The sequence below is a fragment of the Homo sapiens genome, chromosome 5 (genome assembly GCF_000001405.40).
Source record: "Homo sapiens chromosome 5, GRCh38.p14 Primary Assembly".
Lineage (NCBI taxonomy): Eukaryota > Metazoa > Chordata > Mammalia > Primates > Hominidae > Homo > Homo sapiens.
In genome coordinates, this window is record NC_000005.10 from 73,007,028 (window position 1) to 73,031,572 (window position 24,545).

At 38.6% G+C, this 24,545-nt stretch overlaps 1 protein-coding gene and 1 pseudogene across 9 annotated transcripts in view; one reads left to right on the forward strand and one right to left on the reverse strand.

Moving 5' to 3' along the window:
* The window catches only part of FCHO2 (FCH and mu domain containing endocytic adaptor 2), a 134,482-nt gene that overhangs the window by 50,987 nt on the left and 58,950 nt on the right, over positions 1-24,545 (forward strand). For 8 of the 9 annotated variants that reach the window (NM_138782.3, XM_017009016.3, XM_017009017.3 and 5 more), the window contains 2 exons: positions 8,599-8,697; positions 10,185-10,281. In NM_138782.3, the coding sequence (NP_620137.2) occupies positions 8,599-8,697; positions 10,185-10,281 (196 nt within the window). The remainder of the gene's footprint in view (positions 1-8,598; positions 8,698-10,184; positions 10,282-24,545) is intronic. The other variant, NM_001146032.2, reaches the window with a different exon arrangement.
* On the reverse strand, positions 12,377-14,360 carry CHP1P1 (CHP1 pseudogene 1; annotated as a pseudogene).

Here is a 24,545-nt window from a genome sequence, read left to right on the forward strand (position 1 = left end):
GCTGCCTTTTAGGAATCATACCTAACATTTCCACTCTCCGCTGCCCCTGCTTCTTGTCCTTTTCCTTGTTTTATTTTCCTGCTTAGCACCTATCGTGATCTTACATACCAAGAATTTTATTCCTGTATCATTCAGGTCAGAGTAAGTATGCTGTGGTGACACAAGGCCCCAGAAATCTCAGTGGCTTACAATATCAAGGGTTTATTACTTTCTCATGCTGCGTGTTCATTATGGGTTGGCTGCAGCTGTTTTACATCGTCTTCACTGTAGTCCTGAGGCTGGTGGATGAACTCCTTTTTGGAATGTTCTTAGTTATGTCTAAGGGGCCAGAAACAGTGAAGCACATGAGTTCTTTTACCTATATTTTTTGTCTGTTTTTCTCCACTAAAATTTAAGTTTATGAGAGCAAGGATGGATTTGTTTTGTTTACTGCTATATCCTCAGCTTTTAGAATAGTTCCCAGATCATAGTAGGCACTCAGTTAATATGAAAGAAGGACTTTGTGAATCTGAATTTTTGGACTCTATGTCTTCATTATGTCTTCCCATTTGAAGTAGTGAACAGCTCATATCTTAGAAAGCGAAGTCTTGCATACTTGTGTGCATGTATGTGCATATCCATCTTTACCTACAATGGCATAGACTCTGTTAGGTGCTGGTGTGTATACAGTACATCTGTAAATAAGACAAATATCTCCGTGCTTGAGATGGTGTTTACAGTATAGAGGAGGGAGGCAGACATTAAATACATGCTTAAATATAAAGTTATAAATTATTATAAGTATTGCAAAGGAAAATAATAGGCTTCCATGAGATAGAATAATAGCAGTGACTTAATTTGGATTAGGGAGTCAGGAAAGGCCTTTTAAGATAAGTGATGTTTAAAACTGGAACTTGAAGAGTGAGTAAGAAATTAATAGGGCAAGAGCGTTACAGGCTTTGGGGATCATGAGTATGAAGGCCCAGAGGGTATAAAAGAACTTACATTCTGGAAAGTAAAAAATGCTTACTAAACCTGAGTAAGGGAAAATGGTAGTGAGAAATGAAGTTGAATTGATACACAAGGACTAGGTTACATTAGGTTGGTGCAAAAGTAATTGTAGTTTTTACCGTTACTTTTAATGGCAAAAGAATTTAGGTTTTCTTCTAAGAGCAACTAGAAGCCGCCTAAGGGTTTTAGGCAGGGATGTGACATGATCTGATCTACATTTAAAGATAATTCTGGCAGTTTTGGGAAGAATTGATTAGAGTATGTCTAAAGGAGAATCAAGAGTCCAGTTTGGAAGTCAGTATAGTAGTCAGGTGAGAAGGATGAGGGCCAGCGTAGTGGTCTTGGAGAAGGAGACAAGTGAATGCATTGGAGATGGCAGGGATAGGATGGGTTGAGGAATTCTTCGGAAGATTAGGATCCCTTCCAGGTTTTAGCTTGTTAAATCTATGTGGAGAGAGATGAATGGGGAAGATTAGATGAAGAACTGTTAGTTTGATGGAAGGAAGGGATCAATGTTCAATTTTGAACATGTTAATTTTAAGACGCCTATGAGATACATAATTGGTGACATCAGGAGGGCAGTTTTGGAGGAGCCAAGTAATCTGGGCTGGACATAATGTCCACAGTTCCTTATCCACAATTCCGAATCCGAAGAGCTCTGAAAACCAAGTATTTTTTTTTCTGTGATTTATTTGACAACAAAACTTGACTTGAACTGATACGAGGCTGTCTATAGTCTTTATCCTACGTATATTTTCCTTTAGAAATATTAATGTGTTTGATAAACAGATGCCACTACAGATCCTGCTGGTAGTATTATGAATGAGGTATATGGCATTCTAAATAATACTATATATCTTTATTTAAAAAACAAGGGAAGAAAAGGAATTCCAAAACTCGCCTGGTCCCAAAAGTTTTGAATAAGGATTATCAGACCATATAAAATAGGGTTTTGTCAGTACACAAAGCCATGATGACAGCACTTTTAGAGTGTGGGGAAGAAAGGGCCTCAGGGCCAAGCTCTGAGAGACTCATTATTGAGATTTTAATAGAGGAAGCCAAAGAAGAAAGAAGAAAACTGGAAGTGTAATGTCATGGTAGCTGGAAAAAGAAGCTTCAAGAAGGAAGGGTTTAGGTAGTTGTCTTAAATAAGGCTTCAAGTCTAGTGAGATAGAAAGTTGCAATTTCTGTAGCAACTGAGGTCATTGCAGGCTTCAGCAAGTGCTGTTTTGTCTTTTAAATCATTAGGAGCACACATTTATAAGGGAGTTATTGTTGATATGTTAATTTCACATTAAATGGTTAGTCTTTATCAGCTAAGCATTTGCCGTTTCATTAATTTTTAAAATTGGAATAAACAGAGTTTGCTATAGTCAGAGTTTTTTGTTTGTTGATGTTACTTTATAAAAAAGAGCGTTCAGCACATCTTTCCATTTCCTTTTCATGTTCTGCTTCCTCATTACATTTTTTTCCAAAATGGCATTTTAATTGTTCATCCTGCCTTTCTGGTTTTTTTGTTTGTTTTTTGTTGTTTTTTGAGACAGGGTCTCACTCTGTCAACCAGGCTCGAGTGCAATGGCACGATCTTGGCTTACTGCAGCCTTTTTGCCTCCCAGGCTAGTGACCTTCCCACCTCAGCCTCCTGAGTAACTGGGACTGCAGGTGTGCACCATCATGTCCAGCTAATTTTTGTATTTTTAGTAGAGACAGGGTTTCACCATGTTGCCCAGGGTGGTCTTGAACTCTTGGGCTCAAGTGATCTGTCCAACTCGGCCTCCCAAAATGCTGGCTGGGATCACAGGCACCGTGCCAGCCCATTCTGCCCTTTTTAAGATGGGAACATTAATTTATTTGAGCAAATGTGTGACCATGCTGCTTTTAAATAAAGATGATGGCATACTTTACTAATGTGTGTGTATTTGTTCTTTCTCAAGATCTTAGAGATCTCTGTTTCTGTCTCACCCTCTCTTTCTGTCATACTCTACAGCTGCAGAATAGGTTAATTATTGTTTCTTCATAGAGAATAGACTTTAATTTGGGTTAGTTTAGAAGGGAAAGTAATCCTTTTACTTCTCCACTTAACTGTTTTTCCAGGCCAGCTGGGTTGACCAGTCTCAGTGGGAAAGAAAGAACCTGACAGTATAGTGAGAATCAAATTTGGGTGGTAGGACCTATATTTACTAGTGGGAGAAGATCATTGAGTCTCTAGGGTGAAAGAGGTTAGAATTTAGAGTATTTGTGATTTAAGTTTTTAAAATTTAGGTTTAGGATAAAAATGATTGAAATTGTGACTTTTTATGCTCATGCTTTTACCACTATTAATTAATGAGACACTTGAAACAGAATATGGAGATTTTGTTTACTTTAAAGCAGTGAGATGGCTAGTTTATGGAAACTTTGAGATTTGTTAAGCAGTACCCTCAGATTAAAGATTATTAGGATTAGCGTACTTTTATATATCTTTAGTGGCTGAGAAGATAGTGTAGCCCTGTGTCGCTTAACAACAGGGATACACTTTAAGAAATGTCGTTAGGCAATTTTGTCATTGTGTGAACATCATAGAATGTACTTATGCCTGGCCAGGCATGGTGGCTCACGCCTGTAATCCCAGCACTTTTGGAGGCTGAGGTGGACAGATCACCTGAAGTCAGGAGTTCAAGACTAGACTTGCTAATATGTTGAAATCCTGTCTCTACTAAAAATACAAAACTTAGCCAGGTGTGGTGGTGCACGCCTATAATCCCAGTTATTTGGGAGGCTAAGGCACCAGAATTGCTTGAAATGGGAAGCAGAGGTTGTGGTGAGCCGAGATTGTGCCACTGCACTCCAGCCTGGGTGACAGAGTGAGACTCTGTCTCAAAAAAAAAAAAAAAAAAAAAAAAAAAGAGAGAATGTACTTACTTACACATACCTAGATGGTGTAGACTGCTACAGACCTGGCTATATGGTTTAGTCTGTTGCTTGTAAGCTACAAACCTGTACAGCCTGTTACTGTACTGAATACTGTAGGCAGTTATAACAAAATGGTATTTGTGTCTTTAAACATAGAAAAGATATAGTAAAAATCAGTATAAAAGATTAAAAATGCTGCATCTGAGTAGAACACTTATGTTGAATGGAGATTGCAGGACTGGAAGTTGCTCTGGTTGAGTTAGTGAATGAGTAGTGAGTAAATGTGAAGGCCTAGGACATTACTGTACACTACTGTAGATTTTATAAGCACTGTAGATTTAGGTTACATTAAATTTTATTAAAAATTGTTTTCTTCCTTCAATAATAAATTAACCTTAGCTTATTGTAACTTCTTTAGAAACTTAAAAAAATTTTAAACATTTTGACTCTTTTGGGATGACATCTTAAAGTAGAAACACATTGTACAGTTGTACAATAGTATTTTCTTTATATCCTTACTCGATCAGCTTTTTTTCTGTTTTAAAATTTTTATTTTTTTTTAACTTTTTAAATCTTTTTCCTAAAAACTAAGACACAAACGCACACAGTAAACATGTGCCTACATAGGCTTAGTATCATTAGGATTGCTCTTTTATCTCCACATCTTGTACTACTGGAAGGTCTTCAGGGGCAGTAGCATGCATAGAACTATCATCTCTGGCTGGACTTGGTGGCTCACACTTGTAATCCCAGCACTTTGGGAGGGCGAGGTGGGCAGATCACTTGAGGTCACGAGTTTGAGACCAGCCTGGCCAACATGATGAAACCTCATCTTTAATAAAAATACAGAAATTAGCTGGGCGTGGTGGTACGCGCCTGTAATCCTAGCTGCGTGGGAGGCTCAGGCATGAAATCACTTGAAGCTGAGAGGTGGTGGTTGCAGTGAGCTGAGATTGCGCCACTGCCCTCCAGCCTGGGCAACAGAGCGAGACTCCATCTCAGGAAAAAAAAAAAAAGTATCGCCTATGGTAACAAAGCCTTCTAGAATACCTCCTGAAGGACCTGCTGGAGGCTGTTTTACAGTTATTGTTTTTTCTAATAAGTAGAAGGATTACACTCTAATAATAAAAAGTGTAGTTTAGTAAATACATTTACCAGTAACATCATTTATTATCAAGTATTATGTGCTGTATATTATGTGCTATGCGGTACTTTTATGTGACAGGCAGCACAGTAGGTTTGTTTGTATCAGCATCACCACAAACGTGAGTAATGCGTTGCACTACGTTATGGCAGCTATGATGTCACTAGGCAATAGAAAGTTTTCATATCTATTATAATCTTCTGGTACCACTGTCATATATGGCATTAGTTGTTGACAGAAATGTCATTATGTGGCTCATGACTATACTTTTAAAAATTAATGTAACAGGCTGGGTTTGGTGGCTCACGCCTGTAATCCCAGCGCTTTGGGAGGCCGCGGCAGGTGGATCACGAGGTCAAGAGATTGAGACTATACTGGCCAACGTGGTGAAACTCTGTCTACTAAAAATACAAAAATTAGCTGGGTGTGGTGGCACATGCCTGTAGTCCCAGCTACTCGGGAGCCTGAGGCAGGAGAGTTGCTTGAACCCATGAGGCAGAGGTTGCAGTGAGCCGAGATCACGCCACTGCACTCCAGCCTGGCGACAGAGCGAGACTCCGTCTCAAAAAAAAAAAAAAAAAAAAATTAATGTAACAATACATGTGAACACAGTGAATTTGAAGTTGCAGGGAGTAAAGTGCCTATCTAATTTGTTCAGGAAAGTTCATTTATGTATACTCAAGCATTTGAGACTATATCCATTTCCCATTGCTGAATTACTCTGAGCTTAGTAGTCACTAATTTTGAGGAATTGTGATAGTTAGCAGTGTGCCCCTACCCCCAAAACCCCACAGTTTCAAAATTGCATCTGATTCATGCCTTGAGTTTCTCTGTGGATTCATATTTTAAGATATTTCTAAATAAATAAAGATCTGCCTTGTTGAGTGTAGCTTTTTCAAAAGGGAATGAAGACAGTTTCCTCGGAATTAAGGGTCATTCAAATGAAATTAATGGCTACCTGTCTGAGAAAATATCTTGTTTATTAAATTGCTGAAATTTAAGTTAAGGGCCATCCTTCTAGTAAATGCTCCTCAGTTCTTGAGAGTAATTCAGGATCTTGAAATACTGGTACTGTATTCTCGTTGACTTGGTCAAAATTAATCAATGACAAGTATTCCACTTTAACTCTGCCATTCCTCATAAATCAAATTGATTCAAGTTTTTGGGCTGTTGCAATACTGCCGAAACTGTAATTTCACCATTCTGGATTTTTTTTTTTTTAGAGGTTCTTACCATTTACACATTAGATATCATTTGGTGATTTCTGGTCACCAAAGTGACTGAAGAAATTTAGACATTAAATATAGGGTCAGGGAATTAAATTTCATAAACTAACAAGATAAAAATAGTAAGGCTTAGGCCCATTCCTTAGAACTGATTTAATTTGGAAAAAAATAGATAACCAGGTTTGTACAATAGAAATGACAAATGTATTTTGTTTGAAAATGGGTAGCTCAGCATTTCCCAAAGCCTGTTTTGAGGACTATTATTGCTCTGTGAGATATTAATAGATGTTCAGGGAAGAAGAAAAACAAAAGTGTTGTAAGGTCAAAGAAATTTAGAAAATGCCGGGTTAAGCAAAGTGAAACGTGTCATTATTTCAGTATTTCTCAGACCTTCTTTTTTTTCTCCAAGATGGAGTCTCACTCTGTCGCCCAGGCTGGAGTGCAGAGGCGCGATCTTGGCTCACTGCAATCTCCACCTCTCAAGTTTAAGGAATTCTCCTGGGTTCAAGCTATTCTCTGCCTGAACCTCCTTAGTAGCTGGGATTACAGGCATGCGCCACCATGCCTGGCTAATTTTTGTATTTTTAGTAGAGACGGGGTTTCACCATGTTGGCCAGGCTGGTCTTGAACTCCTCATCTCATGATCAGCTGGCCTCGGCCTCCCAAAGTGCTGGAATTACAGGTGTGAGCCACCGTGCCTGGCCTCTCAGAGCTTTTGATATATTTATTGTGAAGGCAAGGCAAGCAGTGGTTTCCTCTCTGGGGATATCAGAGTAACTTGGAAATTTTTTCCAAACAACTTTCTCATCTCTTTCAACCCCCATTACCCAGGCAGTACTGGAGGATCTATTTGTTTTGAAGTTTGAAAAGGTTCTCCAGGTGATCTAACACATCCTCACTTTTGGTTGAGAACTGCTGAAATAGAGTATATAGGCTTTCCCAGATTTCTTTGATGACAGCCATCTCTTTTGGGGATTGTATATTATTATTTCTTTTTTCTTTTTTTTCTTTTTCTTTTTTTTTTTTTGAGATGGAGTCTCACTCTGTCGCCCAAGCTGGAGTGCAATGGCGTGATCTCGGCTCACTGCAACCCCTGCCTCCCGGGTTCAAGCGATTCTCCTGCCTCAGCCTGCCAAGTAGCTGGGATTACAGGCACGCGCCACCACGCCTGGCTAATTTTTTGTATTTTGAGTAGAGACGAGGTTTCACCACGTTTGTCAGGCTGATCTCAAACTCCTGACCTTGTGATCTGCCCACCTCTGCCTCCCATAGTGCTGGGATTATAGGTGTGAGCCACCGTGCCCGGTGTATATTATTATTTCAAGGATTAGAAAGACATTTTGAAAATCTATGGGCTAGATTATAAAGCATTTGAAAGTAAACTGTAGTTTTTGCTTTGCCAACTGATTGTTTTTCAGTTTTTAAAACTCTTTGTTTTTTTTGTAACATTATTCTCTTCTGGGTCTCCTAATTTTCTGATCACGATTATAGATTTTAATGTGTAATGGCTCCAAATTCGGCTGGGTGCGGTGGCTCACGCCTGTATCCCAGCACTTTTGGAGGCTGAGGCAGGTGGATCATGAGGTCAGGAGATCGAGACTTTCCTGGCTAACACGGTGAAACCCGTCTCTACTAAAAATACAAAAAATTAGCCAGCATGGTGGTGGGCACCTGTAGTCCAAGCTACTCGGGTGGCTGAAGCAGGAGAATGATGTGAACCTGGGAGGCGGAGCTTCCAGTGAGCCAAGATGGTGCCACTGCACTCCAGCCTGGGTGACAGAGCAAGACTCCGTCTCAAAAAAAAAAAAAAAAAAAAAAGCTCCAAATTCTAGAAAAGTTTGTATTTACCTAAGAAATGACATAACAAAAAGTTAACTTTTTGCAGTGCCATATTTCAGTTTACCTGCTAGATCTGTCTGTCTTGAGGCTTGGTTAAACATTGTGTAAAAGTGGTAACTTGGAAAATTTGGTTATATTGAGTTGATTTCTTTTTTTTTTTTGGAGACGGAGTCTCGCTCTGTCGCCCAGGCTCCAGTGCAGTGGCGTGATCTGGGCTCACTGGAACCTCTGCCTCCCAGGTTCAAATGATTCTCCTGCCTCAGCCTCCTGAATTGCTGGGATTACAGGCATCTGCCACCATGCCTGGCTAATTTTTGTATTTTTAGTAGAGACAGGGTTTCACCATGTTGGCCAGGCTGGTCTTGAACTTCTGACCTCAAGTGATCCACCTGCCTCAGCCTCCCAAAGTGCTGGGAGAGATGATTTCTGAAAGCTCTTTTGATTCCAGAATATATATGTATGTACCTGTATATGTTATAAATCTATAACTTTGTATATGTTACCCAGAAATTTCAAGATATTGAAGAAACTCATCTCATTCACATAAAGGAAATTATAGGATCCTTGTCAAATGCTATAAAGGAAATTCATTTGCAGATAGGCCAGGTAAGTTTTTTTACTTTATGTTGAACTATTCATGAAAAATTTGTTTATTTATAGCTCTTTAAAAATATTTTCTCACTCTGTTCAAAGTTCATAAGTATAATACCGAATTTTTCCAAATAAAGAATATGTAAAGATAATATATTTACATGTAGTAAATAGAAAATAAACTGGATATTTTATCATTTGGCCACCGAGGATGATAATTCAAATTAATTTTTTAAATTAACTATATTCAGTTTTCTTTATATTGAATTTCTAAAGCTATCAACTTTTGAATATTTCTTTTTTCAAGCTTTACTATTTTTAAATTTAAAGCAGCAACTTTATTAAACTATAGAACTTTTACTTAGAAGTGTTCCACAAATATAAAAGGTTTAATGATGACAATTTGGGGTATACTGAAATATAGTAGAGAAAGATGAAGTCTGTTATTCTTCAAACTAGCCAGGCACGGTGGCTCATACCTGTAATCTCAGCAGTTTGGGAGGCCAAGGCAGGAAGATTACTTGAGCCCAGAAGTTTGAGACCAGCCTGGGCAACATAGGGAGACCTCATCTCTACACAAAATTTAAAAAATATTTTAAATTGTTTAAATATTAAAAAATATTTTAAATTGTTTAAATATTAAAAAAGATTTTAAATTGTTTAAATATTAAAAAAGATTTTAAATTGTTTAAATATTAAAAAAGATTTTAAATTGTTTAAATATTAAAAAAGATTTTAAATTGTTTAAATATTAAAAAAGATTTTAAATTGTTTAAATATTAAAAAAGATTTTAAATAGTTTAAATATTAAAAAAGATTTTAAATTGTTTAAATATTAAAAAAGATTTTAAATTGTTTAAATATTAAAAAAGATTTTAAATTGTTTAAATATTAAAAAAGATTTTAAATTGTTTAAATATTAAAAAAGATTTTAAATTGTTTAAATATTAAAAAAGATTTTAAATTGTTTAAATATTAAAAAAGATTTTAAATTGTTTAAATATTAAAAAAGATTTTAAATTGTTTAAATATTAAAAAATTTTTGGGTGTGGTGGTGCATGCCTATAGTCCCAGCTACTTGGGAGGCTGAGGTGGGAGGATCACTTGAGTCCAGGAGGTTGAGGCTGCAGTGAGCCGTGACACCCAGCCATCTGGGTGACAGAGTCAGACTGTGTGTGTGTTTTTTTTAAGCCAAAAGTATTTTTGTTGTCTGTATAAGTCTTATCATAAGAATGATGTCTCTAGAACGCTCAAAGATGGGAACAGAAAACTGCTTTGACTTCTAGGGGCGTGAGGCTATGTGTTAAGGGGTTAATGTAAGTCATGGTTGGTCCCTACAGATCCAGTAATGCTGGAAGTTAGGTAAATTAAAGTCCTCAAAGGGCCTTGGGTCAAAAATACATATTTTGATATAATTAATTTTAATTGTCTTGTGTAAGTTTTATCTGAAATACACTAAGAATGTGGAAAAAGAAAAAGTTATCTTTATTTCATTTTAATAGGTCCATGAAGAATTTATAAATAACATGGCTAATACTACAGTTGAAAGTTTGATACAAAAATTTGCTGAGTCAAAAGGCACTGGGAAGGAAAGACCTGGTAAGATGATAAACTCTGCAAGGAAACATTTTAAATTTTCCCATATAGTAACTAACATATTTGCCTTGAAGATCATGTGGGTAAGGGGTAATTTTAACTTTATATCACATATCTGAAGTTAAAAATATTTCCAAACTGTGAAATGGAGCCAACCCAAAAAATGGAGTATACCTAAAAATTTGTATAAAATCTCAGATATTACTATTTTTATGTCTGATGATACATTAAGATTTTTGTTTTGGCTTTTAGTGGTTAATACAATAATTTAGTATTATTTAAAGTGGTTATTATAACATTTTACTAAATCTGTCACAGTTTTAGATTTTTCAAAATAGAGTCACCTACAGAAGGCTATTTTAATAAAAGAAAGATTGGGAGAGAATATTGAACGCTCAGAACATTGAGACCAACGTAGAACCTTTCTTAAAATTTAATAACTTCTTTCTTTTCTCATTTATATATACATTTAACAAATATATTTATTGAGTTCTAACAATATACCAGACCCCATTCTAGAAATTTGGGGATACACCAGTGAACAAATGGATATAGGAATCCTGGCTCCTATTTTTATGAAAAAATGATTACAGAAGTTCAAATTCTACTTTTAATTGGCATGTTATGATGTATCAAATGTAATAAGTACCCCATTCCCTTCCCTGCTCAGCATACTTACAGTCCTCCAGATTTCTTTAATCTATTTATTAGTTACTATATCATGTTCTTGCAAGATACATGTTTCACTCCATAAGTAAAAATAATTTAGTGCATTAAAGAAGTTAAAATATGATATGGCATTCCAGAAAATGGGTAAGAGATCTGTGAAGTTTGGGAACCATATTTCCTCAGTGCAGTTCATAGACCTAAGGCTTGAAACCTAAATCATCTTTAATTTCTTCTTCCCAAATTTCATTAAATTTTTAATCTTACTGATTCAATTGTATTAGTATTTTTCCCTTCAGACTTTCTTTTCATGTTTTCTCTAGCTGCCTAATTAATTTGCAGATTTCATACTGGTACAGCAGACGTTTCTTCTCCAATCTATTTTACATGTTATAGCACACTCATCTTTTGCCTATACAGTTATGAACTTATAATTGTACCACTTACAAATCTTTAAATTTTCACGTTGACAGAATGAAAGTGGGATTCTGGACTTGGTTTCAGAGCCTTTAAGGATCTCGAGCTGACCAGATTTTAGTCTTAACTTTCTTCTTTTTTTTTTTTTTTGTTTCAACCACAAGTGTTTATTGATATATTTTAATGGAACAATAAGGCACAACCGTGGATTAAAACAGTTTGCTATACAGCCAAAAGAGGGGAAAGCTATAACCTTAGGAACTTTAGATATGCAAATCAAGGAGCCTCTGAAGTACCTCTCTATAGATCAGTGTCAGACATTCTTCCGTTTTCACTTGATCACAAAGTCTGACTGATACTTCATGAAGAATTTCTCATTCATTTATATTTGAGCCATCCAGCCCAGCTACTTCCCTGTTCTCTACCCTTTTCCATCACTTTGCAGTGGTATTTTTTTTAGCAATCCCCTTCCTAAATAATTATGTACACATCTTCAATAGTTTTCCAAAGCAAGGAAACAAGCACGCAAGCAGTGAATCAGAGAAAGTCAGCCAAGGGCAGATGTTTGGATAAATAGACTCATAGGGACATACATTAGGATGGCAATAGCTTGATTCACTGAAGTCTAAACTAAGCTGACTTTGGCAGAAAAGTTGCTGTGGCTTGTTCGAAGACCTGTAATGCCACCTTAGGTTGTGCTACTAGTGCCAGACCTCATTTTTAAGGGATTAGCAGTGGTCTATACAAGGAAGTAGGAAGCTAGTGTAACCAGGCAGCTAATGATACAATAGTCAATGCTTTGGACATGTATTAGGAGCTGACTATGGCTTCCATCATTAACATTTGCCAAGTGTAAAATTCATAAAGAATTTTGTGACTGAGCATGGTGGTTCACACCTGTAATCCCAGCACTTTGGGACGCTGAGGCAGGAGGATCACCTGAGGTCAGGAGTTCAAGACCAACCTGGCCAACATGGTGAAACCCTCTACTGAAAATACAAAAATTAGCCAGGTTTGGTGGTGCACATCTGTAATCCCAGCTACTTGGGAGGCTGAGGCGGGAGAATTGCTTGAACCCAGAGGCGGAGGTTGCAGTGAGCCAAGATTGCGCCATTGCACTCCAGCCTGGGTGACAGAGTAAGACTCCGTCTTAAAAAAATAAAAAAGAATTTTGTGCAAAACTTCAAGATACGGAGGAAACAATCTTTAAATGTTTTGGACTGGGATAAGTTAACGCTAATCTTTCTACTTGGAAATGTGAAGTGAAAAACATTCCAGTGCACGTAACACTAAGTCATAAACCATGCTGCAAAGGTGTGAATGCGTGAGGCTTTATAGGGTGTCCAGCTGCCTTGATAAAAAGCCATGAAAAAGTCCCCAGGCATATTGCCAGAGCAGTCATTCTGGTGGTAACGGTGTCCCCAAACTAAACAAACCCATAGGCATATTGCTATTTTTTGAACAGTCAACACTGCACTAACGAGGAGCCATGTAGGTAAAAGTTGAGAATCAGAGGCCAGAGGTAGAGTGATGTGGGCAAGCAACCCAGAAGACTTGTCTCCACACCTCTCACCAAGGCCACCTTTCAAGATGAGTATCTCCACCCAGCAGCCCTTTGATGACAGAGTAGAATGCAGAGGATAGTGTCATACTTCTCAGAGAAGTGTTGGTTACCAAAAAGCTCCTGGAGAGGCAACATCCCAGAGGCCCATTTAATAATGAAGGTAAATAAAAACTGCCAGACCCCTGAACTATCCTGTCAAGTCAGGAATACATAGGGCATAGCAGTGCCAAGTAGAACAGATTAGATTTTGAGGCTTACTGAAAAGCAGAAAGACTGCCAGACTAAGCAAACAGTATGTTGGATGACACAGAAGTAGGAAGCAAAGGACATATGAAAAGGATGAAGAAGCATGGTGGCATACTTGCTAGAGGGAAGGCAGTAGGGCTACAGTCTACATCTGGTGAAAGAGCTTTGCTGGCTTGTTCTTGGCATGATTCCGTCTCTCACTTTCTCAGACTGTATGGATATGCATTCAGCAGCAGAATGGGGAAAAAGATACTTATAAATGAAGAACTAGTGACTGGATACTGAACAGAAATAGACTGGGTGTACCATTCTGTAATGCCCTGTTTATGCATCAAAGGCAGGTTTGTGTTGACAGAACATATTTGGGGTTGTCGTGCAACAGCAGTAGTACTTTGGGAGAAGGGGAATGATGGGTTGGAGGTGGGGTTGGTAGAAGGAGGACTTTCAAGTTCCAGTTATTAAATACTAGACCGCAAGGAACAGTTTGGTCTCTGTCCTTTAGTGAAGAAATTGGATGCTCATTTTCTGTTCTACATCCACCTTCTCCAAAACCTTAACAAATTCTGTGAGAGATATGGCACTGTCCCCATCCTGATCAGCCTCTTGAATGGTCCTGTCTGCGATGCTGCCGAGCTGCTCATCTGAGATATTTACTCTGACCATTAAGTGTAGCACCTGTATCAGCTCACCACGGGAGAGCTTATCATCTTTATCGAAATCATATAGTCGAAAAGCAAACTGCAGTTTGTTGCTTCGGCTGTTGAGTGGTTCGGGTCCATTCACATCTTTGCTCTTTTCATTATCCTCAATGGGGTGGAAATGAGCCAAAGTTCACATGAATCCATGGAAGTTTACCTGGTCCTCTCCCTCTGGAAAGAAGACATTGATGATTCGGTCCCCCAGTGGGTTGATGACAAGTTCTGGAATCCTCAGGAAATCTTCATGGCTGAGAATGCCATCTCTCCTTTGTCCAGGCTGGTGAACCGGCTGTAGAGCAAGTGATTTGACTGTGGGAAAAACTGATCTTCTTTATCTCCTCAAGCTCTTCATCCCACAGTAACATGGAGGGCTGAGAACCCATCACCACTGGGGAGCTCCTATGGGTGCAGCGGTGCCAGAAGTGATGGCGACAGGAGGGAAGGAGGGAGGGTGAGAAAGGATAGGGGTCAAGAAGGGAGAGGGCAGTCTTAACTTTCTTTTACTCCTATTCAAGTACCTTCACTGAGGCCAACCTGAACTGCTTGCTGTTTCACATACATGCTTCCTTTTTTCCTTTAGTACTTTAGTTGTCCTTAATCCTTACTCTAGAAAATGCTGTATTCCACTACTTTCCTACACCACATCTTTACCACATTCATTCATCATGTGTTGAATGAATGAACTCTTTAAAGAGCCCGGTTATTATCTTTAATGATATCTTTCTCCATCAAAAGTGCCAGAGAACTTATATATTTCTTTCTTGCCTTGTTGCTGTCTACCATTAAATCTTAATAGTTTGTACTTGTGAAAAAGTTCTGTATTTGATTCATCTATTTTCTCTATTTGTAAGCAGTATATATTTTTGTTAAATGAATGAACAAATGGGCATTTAATGGCAAGATTAGGGTGTTAAGAAGGTTGGAATGGAGTGGCTATTAGAAAATTTTTTAAGTGAATGCTAAATAATTATGGTTAATGTTTAGTGAGCTCTTACTGTGTGCCATGTACCATGCCAACCACTTTGTAGGCACACTTTGATTTTCAGCAACTTTTTGAAGTATGTACTATTATTCTCATTTTACAGATGAGGGAAATGTTCAGAGGTAATGTTGAGAGATTTGTCTAAGCTAGTACATGGCAGAAATGGGATTCAGTTCTGGGATTTTTGATCCTGGATCACAAATCAAGTCACATGCTTTGGAAAAATTAGACTAGAACTAAGTGTAGATATGTTGACATAAATTTTAATTTTGAGAATGCCTTTAAACCAGGGGGACTTGACCTTAAATGTGAACCTAAACTGATGAACGATAACCTTTTTTCCCTGGGTCACAAATGATCCAGAGTATATTTAAGCAAAAAGAAAGAATACAGAGAATGAGCTTGAAGTGGATCAGTGTTTTTCTTAAAGTATTACACTAGAGAGTAATTGGAACATTAAAATGTGTTCTGAATCAAGCCAATTTTATTTTGATTTGCCATTTTTTTGTGACTTTTTTTCTTTTCCCTGATGCAATTTTTCCCACTCTGCTTTGGCTTCCTGGGCTCTTTTTACTGCTTTTTGCTTTTATATGCCAGTGTCATTTCCTAAGACACTGCTCAGCCAAAGGCTGACAAGTATGTGGCATGTGCTGCCTTATTCATGGCAGATACCGTTGCTAGATCATTGCATTCGTCCCCGGAGGAGATCTCAGTCTCTCTCATCTCAGTGCTGTAGGCAGTCACTGCCAATATTGAGTGTTGGTACTCATGTTGAAACCTGTCATCTCCAGCTTAGTTCAATAGAGACTTTTTGTTTGCGAATGTCAGAAAGCCATATAAACAAGCTTAAGCAAAAATTCCATGCATTGGCTATTTTAACCTGGAAGGCTGGAATAGATTCAAGGTCCACATGGATTTCATCAGGACTTTGGTTCACTCTTTTCTTTCATTTTTGCTTGTCTTTACTTGGCTTCAGTTTATTAAGTTCCTACTGTAGACTTTTTCCTCATAGCTGGCAAGGAAGACATCAACAGTCCAAGCCTATATCCATTCTGTTTAGAACCCTAGTAGAACTTATTTTTTTTTTGTAGTGTCAGCATATTAATTTCAGGAAAGGTTCTGCTTTTGTCACATGCTTATCTTTGAATAAATCTCTGTGTTTAGGGTAGTAGGATATTATAATTGGTCAGCATAGGTCACATGCCCAGATCATGGAGGAGCAGGATTTGTATTCTGAAAGGGATAATGGAAATATCTTTTGAACAGACAAAAATTACTACTGTAGTACATTGTAGAATCACAGTACAAAGATACCAAACCCCAAAATATAACGTTTTAGAACTACAATAGGTTGTATATGTATTTCAGGTGTAGGATTTAATCATGTTATTAATGTTTAAATAATTAGAAATAACAGTTTAAGAGGCAGGAATTTACTTTATAATTAGATAAAACTAGAAGATAAAAGTTACATAATTCGGTTTGTCTAATAATCATGGAGTTTTATTGCATAAGGGGGCCTTAAAATTAATGTAGTCCAAGGCTGGGCATAGTGGCTCACGCCTGTAATCCCAGCACTTTGGGAGGCTGAGGCAGGTGTATTACCTGAGGTCAGGAGTTCAAGACCAGCCTGACCAACATAGTGAAACTCCATCTCTACTAAATATAAAAATTAGCTGGGAGTGGTGATGTGTACCTGTAATCCCAGCTACTTGGTAGGCTGAGGCAGGAGAATTGCTTGAACCCGGGAGGCAGAGGTTGCAGCGAGCTCAGATTGCGCCATTGCACTCCAGCCTAGGCAACAAGAGCGAAACTCCATCTCAAAAAAAAAAAAAAGTAATGTAGTCCAAACACATTTATTTAACACACAGAAATATGTTGGAACTTATCAAATATATGCCACTAATTTCGTTTAATATAGACTTGCAGGTGAATGAAAGTTTTGTCAGTTCTTAGAAATTTTGCTAACTCAACATATGGGGATTGCTGAACCCTTATTCATCATAATGTCCTACTTGTCAACCTACTCATTTATTCTCTATGAAGAACTCAACAAATATACAGTTATTATAAATTCCTTTCTGTTGGTTAGGTAATAACTGTATATTAGGAATTACCTTTAAGCTCACTGCTTGATTCCTTTTGAATTCTGGACATTTAGATCATGTTTCTTTTTTCTTTTCTTTTCCTTTTTTTTTTGAGACATGGTCTTGCTCTGTCACCTAGGCTAGAATGCAGTGATGCAATCATAGCTCACTGTAGCTTCAACCTCCCAGGCTCAAGCGATCTTGCCACCTGAGCTTCCCAAGTAGCTGGGACCACAGGCATATGCCAGTACACCCCACTGATTTTTAAAAATTTTTAGTGGAGACAGAATCTTACTATGTTGTTCAGGCTGGTCTTGAACTCCTGGACTGAAGCAATCCTTCTGTCTCAGCCTCCTGAAGTGCTGGGATTACAGGTGTGAGCCACTGTGCCTGGCTCATGTTTATTTTCTTGTCTGTGGTGTAGTGCAGTGGTTTGTGACCTGCTCTTTACTAGCAGTGAGACTTTTTTTTTTTTATGTTTTATTTTTTTTGGAGTCGGAGTCTCGCTCCGTCGCCCAGGCTGGAGTGCAGTGGCATGGTCTTGGCTCACTGAACCTCTGCCTCCTCGGTTCAAGCTATTCTCCTGCCTCAGCCTCCCGAGTAGCTGGGATTACAGGTGCCCACCACCACACCTGGCTAATTTTTGTATTTTTAGTAGAGACGGGGTTTCACCATATTAGCCAGGTTGGTCTCGAAATCCTGACCTCATGATCCGCCCACCTCGGCCTCCCAAAGTGCTGGGATTACAGGTGTGAGCCACCGCCCGCGGCCTAGCAGTGAGACTTTTAAACCTCAGTGCCCTCATCTGTAAAGTGGGGATAATAATAGTAACTGCCTCATGGGGCTGTTGTGAGATTTACATGAGATAGTCTACATTTATTAATAAATATTGTTTTCAAAAATGATACATTTCTCATGAATAAGTAGCCACTAATGTAGTTTCATTATAAATTTAATTTTACTGGCCTTAAGATATACGAAGTCATGTAGAAAATACTTACAGCTAGATGGTAGGAGGTAATAGGGAAGCCAAGAACGGTGATGACATGGGCTTTCGTAGAGTCACTAAACCCAGAATTAGGTGGCTGTTTCAGGACCCCAAAAAGAGTCATAGAACTAGGACTTTTAAACAGTCCTAGAACAAACTAACTAGTGTGGGGTGGAGTGGAAGGGATAAATATTATTTCCCTGGTTGAGTTGCTATGGGTGACTAATTGCAGCTTTTTCATATGTTTTTGTTTGTTTGTTTTTTTCTTTTTTGAGACAGAGTTTCACACTTGTTGCCCAGGCTGGAGTGCAATGGCACAATCTCAGCTCACTGCAGTCTCTGCCTCCCGAGTTCAAGCGATTCTACTGCCTCAGCCTCCCGAGTAGCTGGGATTGATGGGGCCCACCACCACACCCAGCTAATTTTTTTTTTTTTTTTTTTTGAGATGGAGTTTCGCTCTTGTTGCCCAGGCTGGAGTGCAGTGGCATGATCTCGGCTCACTGCAACCTCCGCCTGCCGGGTTCAAGCAATTCTCTTGCCTCATCCTCCCTAATAGCTGGGATTACAGGCACCCACCACCCTGCCTGGCTAATTTTTGTATTTTTAGTAGAGATGGGATTTCACCATGTTGGCCAGGTTAATCTCAAACTCCTGACCTCAGGTAATCCTCCCACCTTGGCCTCCCAAAGTGCTGTGATTATAGGTGTGAGCCACTGTGCCTGGCCTCTTTTGTATGTTTTTGATCAGTTTATGGGCACCTGAGCAAATGAGTCTAGTGACTCACTGCAATAACAAAACTTGTGCTTCCTAGAAAAATAACATAGACAAAATTTTGCTTGTGATTGTGTGGAATTTATGGACTTAAAGGATTTTGTTTTGTAAAGTCTATTCTAACCTTCAATTGTTTTATACTATTGATTTCTGTTAACATTTTATTTCTCCTCTTTTGTAAGGAGCCCCTCTGGCGGATGAGTTCCACCCTAAACTAGCTTTAGTTCTGTGGGATAGAGATCTTTAAAAGAAAACAAAAGATCCAATTCTTTTAAAAATTTGTATACATAGCTGGATGTGGTGGCTCACGCCTGTAATCCCAGCACTTTCGGAGGCCGAGGCGACTGAACTCTAACTACTCCATTGAGAACGCCTGCAGAAAAAGGCAAGGATCGAGGTAGAGAGACCACTGCATGACTGTTGGAATAATCCAGGGTAATTTAAGAAGAAAAGAGGCCAAGTGCAGTGGCTCACACCTGTAATCCCAGGACTTTGGGAGGCCAAGGTGGGTGGATCACCTGGAACACCTGAGGTCAGGGGTTCGAGACCAGCCTGGACAATGTGGTGAAACCCTGTCTCTACTAAAAATACAAAACTTAGCTGGGTGTGGTGGTGGGCGCCTGTAATCCCAGCTACTTGGGAGGCTGAGGCAGGAGAATTGCTTGAACCTGGGAGGCGGAGGTTGCCATGAGCCGAGATTGCATCATTGCACTCCAGCCTGGACGACAAGAGCAAGATTCCGTCTCAAAAAAAAAAAATTGTATACATAAGTTAACCTATTTCTCTGATGCTGCAAAATGACACCAATTTTATTTTTAGTCAGTTATCTATTGAAAGATACAACCTGTCAGTTTGTGTTTTCAGTTCTTAAGTCAAACTGAGAGCATTACAAATTTTTTTCTAACTCGTTATGATAATGTTATATTACTTATTGTATGTACTGACACTTTTTGTCATTGCCTTTTTGTTTGTTTTGCTTTTTTTGAGACAGAGTCTCATTCTGTTGCCCAGTCTGGAGTGCAGTGGCATGATCTCAGGCTCAGTGCAACCTCCACCTCCCGGGTTCAAGCAATTCTCATGCCTCAGCCTCCCAAGCAGCTGGGCTTACAGGCGTGCATCACCATACCTGGCTAATTTTTGTATTTTTAGTAGAGACATAGTTTCACCATGTTGGCTAGGCTGGTCTCGAACTCTTGGCCTGAAGCAGTCCACCTGCCTCAGCCTCCCAAAGTGCTGGGATTACAGGTGTGAACCACGGCACCTGGCCTGTCATTGTTTTTTTTTTGTTTGTTTGTTTTTTTTTTTTTTTTTTTAGTGTAGTAATGGCTGGTTCCTCTGGAATTTGAGTCACTGTAAGAGGATGCTTTGAATATTAAGGCACCTGTGGTCTGAAGGGATCATGAATAAACTGGTGTTTTCTAATTTTGTATATCTTTTTATATTCCATTGACATTGCCCTTGTAACCCTAACCACTCTCAGGTAATTCAGTTGCTAAAAGAGAGTAAAATCCATATTTTCAATGTTTTCTATTTTACAGTCATTTTGGTAATTTTACTTTATGCTATTTATAATTCATAAAAGTTCAGCAGGTTTCCATTTATATATATACATATAGTGACTATTTTCTCCCAGTCTGGCTTGTTCTTTTTTTTTTTTTCCGGTGTTTTTGAAGAGCAAAAGTTAATTTTGATGAAGTGCAGTTTACCAAATTTTGGTTTTTTATGTGTTATGCTTTTGTGTCAAATACAAGAAACGTTTGTCTAATCCAAGGTCACAAAGATTTTTAAAAATTTTTCTATTTCCTTTAGTTGAAGTTTTGTAGTTTAGAAGGACACAGGTGATAACCTGAAAAGAGTTCCCAGTGGCCAAAGCTGGAATTACTTGAGCAAGTAATAAGTAATGAATATATTAGATCATAACACAAAGAATAAAATAAATAGCCATTAATCCATACAGATAAAAATAAATGAGTAAAGAATTTAAAATTTATTTCAAAATTTTGTATACATGTTAATACAAAAGGTGACCAAAAGATTTGGACACTTCCTAAAAATATATATATTTATGAATGTCAAGTAAGCACATGAAAAGATACCCCATTCGTAATTAGGGAAATACAGATTAAAACCACAAGAAAAATAGCAGTAGACACTTAATAGAGTGATAAAAATTTAAAAGGCTGACTATACCAGCCAGGCATGCTGGCTCACACCTGTAATCCCAGCACTTTAGGAGGCCAAGATGTGTGGATTCCTTGAGCCCAGGAAGTCGAGACCAGCCTGGGCAACATGATGAAACTCTGTATCTACAAAAAAATACAAAAATTAGGCGTGGTGTTGTGCACCTGTAGTCTTAGCTACTTGGGAGGCTGAGAGGGGAGTATGGCTTGAGCCCAGGAGGCAGAGAGGTTGCTGTGAGCTGAGATTGTACCACAGCACTCCAGCCTGGGTGACAGGGCGAGACTCCATCTGGGAAAAAGAAAAAAAGACTGAGTATACCAAATGCTATCAAGGTTGTGGAAGAACTGAAACTCACAAAGACTGCTGGTGAAAATATAAAATGGTGCAACCACTCTGGAAAATACCTTGGCAGCTTCTTAGAAATTTAAGCGTACACTTACCATATGATCCAGTTGTTCTACCCCTAGGCATTTACCCAAGAGAAAAGGAAATATATGTGCAAAGACTTGCATATGAATGTTCATGGCAGTTTTATTTGTAGTAGCTCCAAACTGTAAACAACCCAAATGTCCATTAACAGATGAACGGATAAACAAATTGTAGTATTTCCATGCAGTGAAGTACTACTCAACAATAAAAATTAATAAACTACTGATACATGCAATTACATGGATGAATCTCAAAGTAATTTTGCTGAGTAAAAGAAGCCAGACCAAAATAAGAATACATATTATATGATTCTTTTTTTTTTTTTTTTTTTTTGTGACAAGAGTCTCGCTCTGTCACCCAGGCTGGAGTGCAGTGGCGCGATCTTGGCTCACTGCAACCTCCACCTCCCAGGTTCAAGTGATTCTCCTGCTTCAGCCTCCCAAGCAGCTAGAACTACAGGCACGCACCACTATGCCCAGTTAGTTTTTGTATTTTTAGTGGAGACAGGGTTTCACCATAGGCCAGGGTGGTCTTGAACTCCTGACCTCGTGATCCACCCGCCTCGGCCTCCCAAAGTGCTGGGATTACAGGTGGAGCCACCGTGCCCAGCCCATACTATATGATTCTATTTATATAACTTTCTAGAAAATGTACACTAATTTATAGTGACAGAAAGCAGATCAGTGATTGCCTTGGGAAGGGTGGAATGGGTTACAAAGGAGCATGAGGTGATAATTATATATGTTATCTTGTGGTAGTAGACTCACAAATGTCAAAATTCATTAAACTGTACAATTTAAGTAGATGTAGTTTATCATATGTTAATTATACCTCAGAAAATCTGTTTAAAAAGGAGTTGGGAAGAATCATTTTAAGGGTTTTGGCATGAGTAACTGAAAGGATATGGTTGCAACTAACATGGAGAATGCTTATAGACATAAGTACTATAATTGAAAGTAGAAACAAGGGCTTTATCAGGATCATGGAAGATGAAAACATGACTCAACCTTATGAGTATGGGGACACTGTCAAAATGTGTATGTAAGAGGAGATTATATTTCAGTACTAAGATTCTGTGGAGAACTAGATAAAATTTTGGAATGTTTCACAGTGACTGAAATCTGTGGTTAAAAACCTATTTCTTTGATTTAAGACTATAGTTTCTAAATTTTTCTCATAGTTTTCAAGCCTTGGGTACTGTATTCGTCCATTCTAGTGTTGCTAAAAAGAAATAATCTGAGGCTAGGTCATTTATAAAGAAAAGATATTTAACTTGGCGCATGGTTCTACAGGCTTTATAGGAAGCATGGTGCTGGCATGTGCTTCTGGTGAGACCTTAGGAAACTTAAAATCATAGTGGAAGGCAACAGAGAGCCACCATGTCACATGGCAATAGTGGGAACATGAGACAGATGGGGGAGGTCCCAGACACTCTTAAACAACCAGATCTTGTGTGAAATAACTTAGCGAGAACACACTTATTACCAAGGGGATGATGCTAAGCCATTCATGAAAGATCCTCCTGCATGATCCAGTCATCTCCCATTAGGCCCCACCTCCCACGTGGGAATCGCATTTCCACATGCGATTTGGAGGGTACAGACATCCAAACCGTATCAGGTACATACAAGAATTATTTTTGGACATTTTTTTCTTTGCATTTTTCTTTTTTTATGTACAGAAATTGATTTCTTTTCTTTCTTTCTTTTTGTTTTTTTTTTTTTTGAGACAGAGTCTTGCCCTGTCACCCAAGCTGGAGTGTAGTGACATGATCTTGGCTCACTGCAACCTCCGCCTCCTGGGTTCAAGTGATTGTCCTGCCTCAGCCTCCCAAGTAGCTGGGATTACAGGGGTCCTCCACCATGCCCAGCTAATTTTTGTATTTTTAGTAGAGATGGGTTTTCACCATGTTGGCCAGGCTGGCGTTGGACTCCTGACCTCAGGTGATCTGCCTGCCTCGGCCTTTCACAGTGCTGGGATTACAGGCATGAGCCACCATGCCCAGCCAAGAAATTGATTTCATTGGTCCAGGGTGGATACCACTATATTTTAAAACTCCTCAGCTGATTGTAACTAGCAGCCATTGTTGAGAACCTATAGCATCACACTACATGAATGCTTGTTATAAATGGAGAATCTCAAATCCTATCCCAGTCCTACTGAATCAGAATCCGTATTTTAATAAGATCCCAAGATGCTCTGGGCTTTGTATGCACAGTATAATTGGAGAAGCACTGTCTAGACTAATTAAATATCTACCAGTGGCCACAGAGTCTACTAGGGCTGTATTTCTCAAAATGTGATTCCAGGACCAGTGGCATCACCTGGGAATTTGTTAAAAATGCAAATATTTGAGCTCCACCCTAGACCTTCTGAATAGAACACTGTGGGAGTGGAGCCCAGTAGTCTGTGGTTTAACAAGTTCTCCAGGTGATTCTCATACATAATATAGTTTAGAAGCATTGCGCCAGGAGTCTCTCATGAGGTTTGAAACTGCTGAATTGAGGAAATTGATTCAGCAAGTCCTTTTTTAAAACACATACTCCTGAAGTGAAGTGTCATTGATGTCTGCAACTTTCAAATGGTTTAGCAAAAGAAAAAAATTGTATAAGGCTATGTGGAGAGAGAGAGAAAGCAAATGCTATATTTGTTATCATTTACCTTTTATAAATGATACAACCTAGGTTCAAAAAGAGCATCTAGTTCAAAAAGAGTATCCAAATTAGAATTTGAGCCTCTATACCCTGTGCATATCACCACAAACTGGAGTGTGATTCTCTTTTTTGTGTTAGCTTGCCTGGCCTATCATCCCAGGCATCTGGGAATGTGACTGTGTTGCATTCCACAGGCCCAGGAGCAAGCTTGAAAATGTAGTAATTGATTTCCATTGTTATGAGTCACAACTCTTTCCTTGCTCATGCACACATGCACACACCCCTTCATTATCATCATTCCTTTTATTAAACTTTTAGTGTATGTCTGAGAGTGTTTGTGTTTAGCTCTGATTAGAAGCAGAAATATGCTTGATTTGAATAGCCCAGACTTTCTATTTGAGTTTTGAGGGCAGTTTTTAACTAATGTTAAAAACTTGTCCTGTTGATGGCCTGAGATTTAGGATTGATTCCGAAGCAACAGGGATTATTAATTAAATATTTCACATATTTTGTACTTTTCCTCAGTCCACAAAACATTTGTGGTGATCAAAGATTACCGTTCAGTAAGTTGCTTTTCTTCTTGT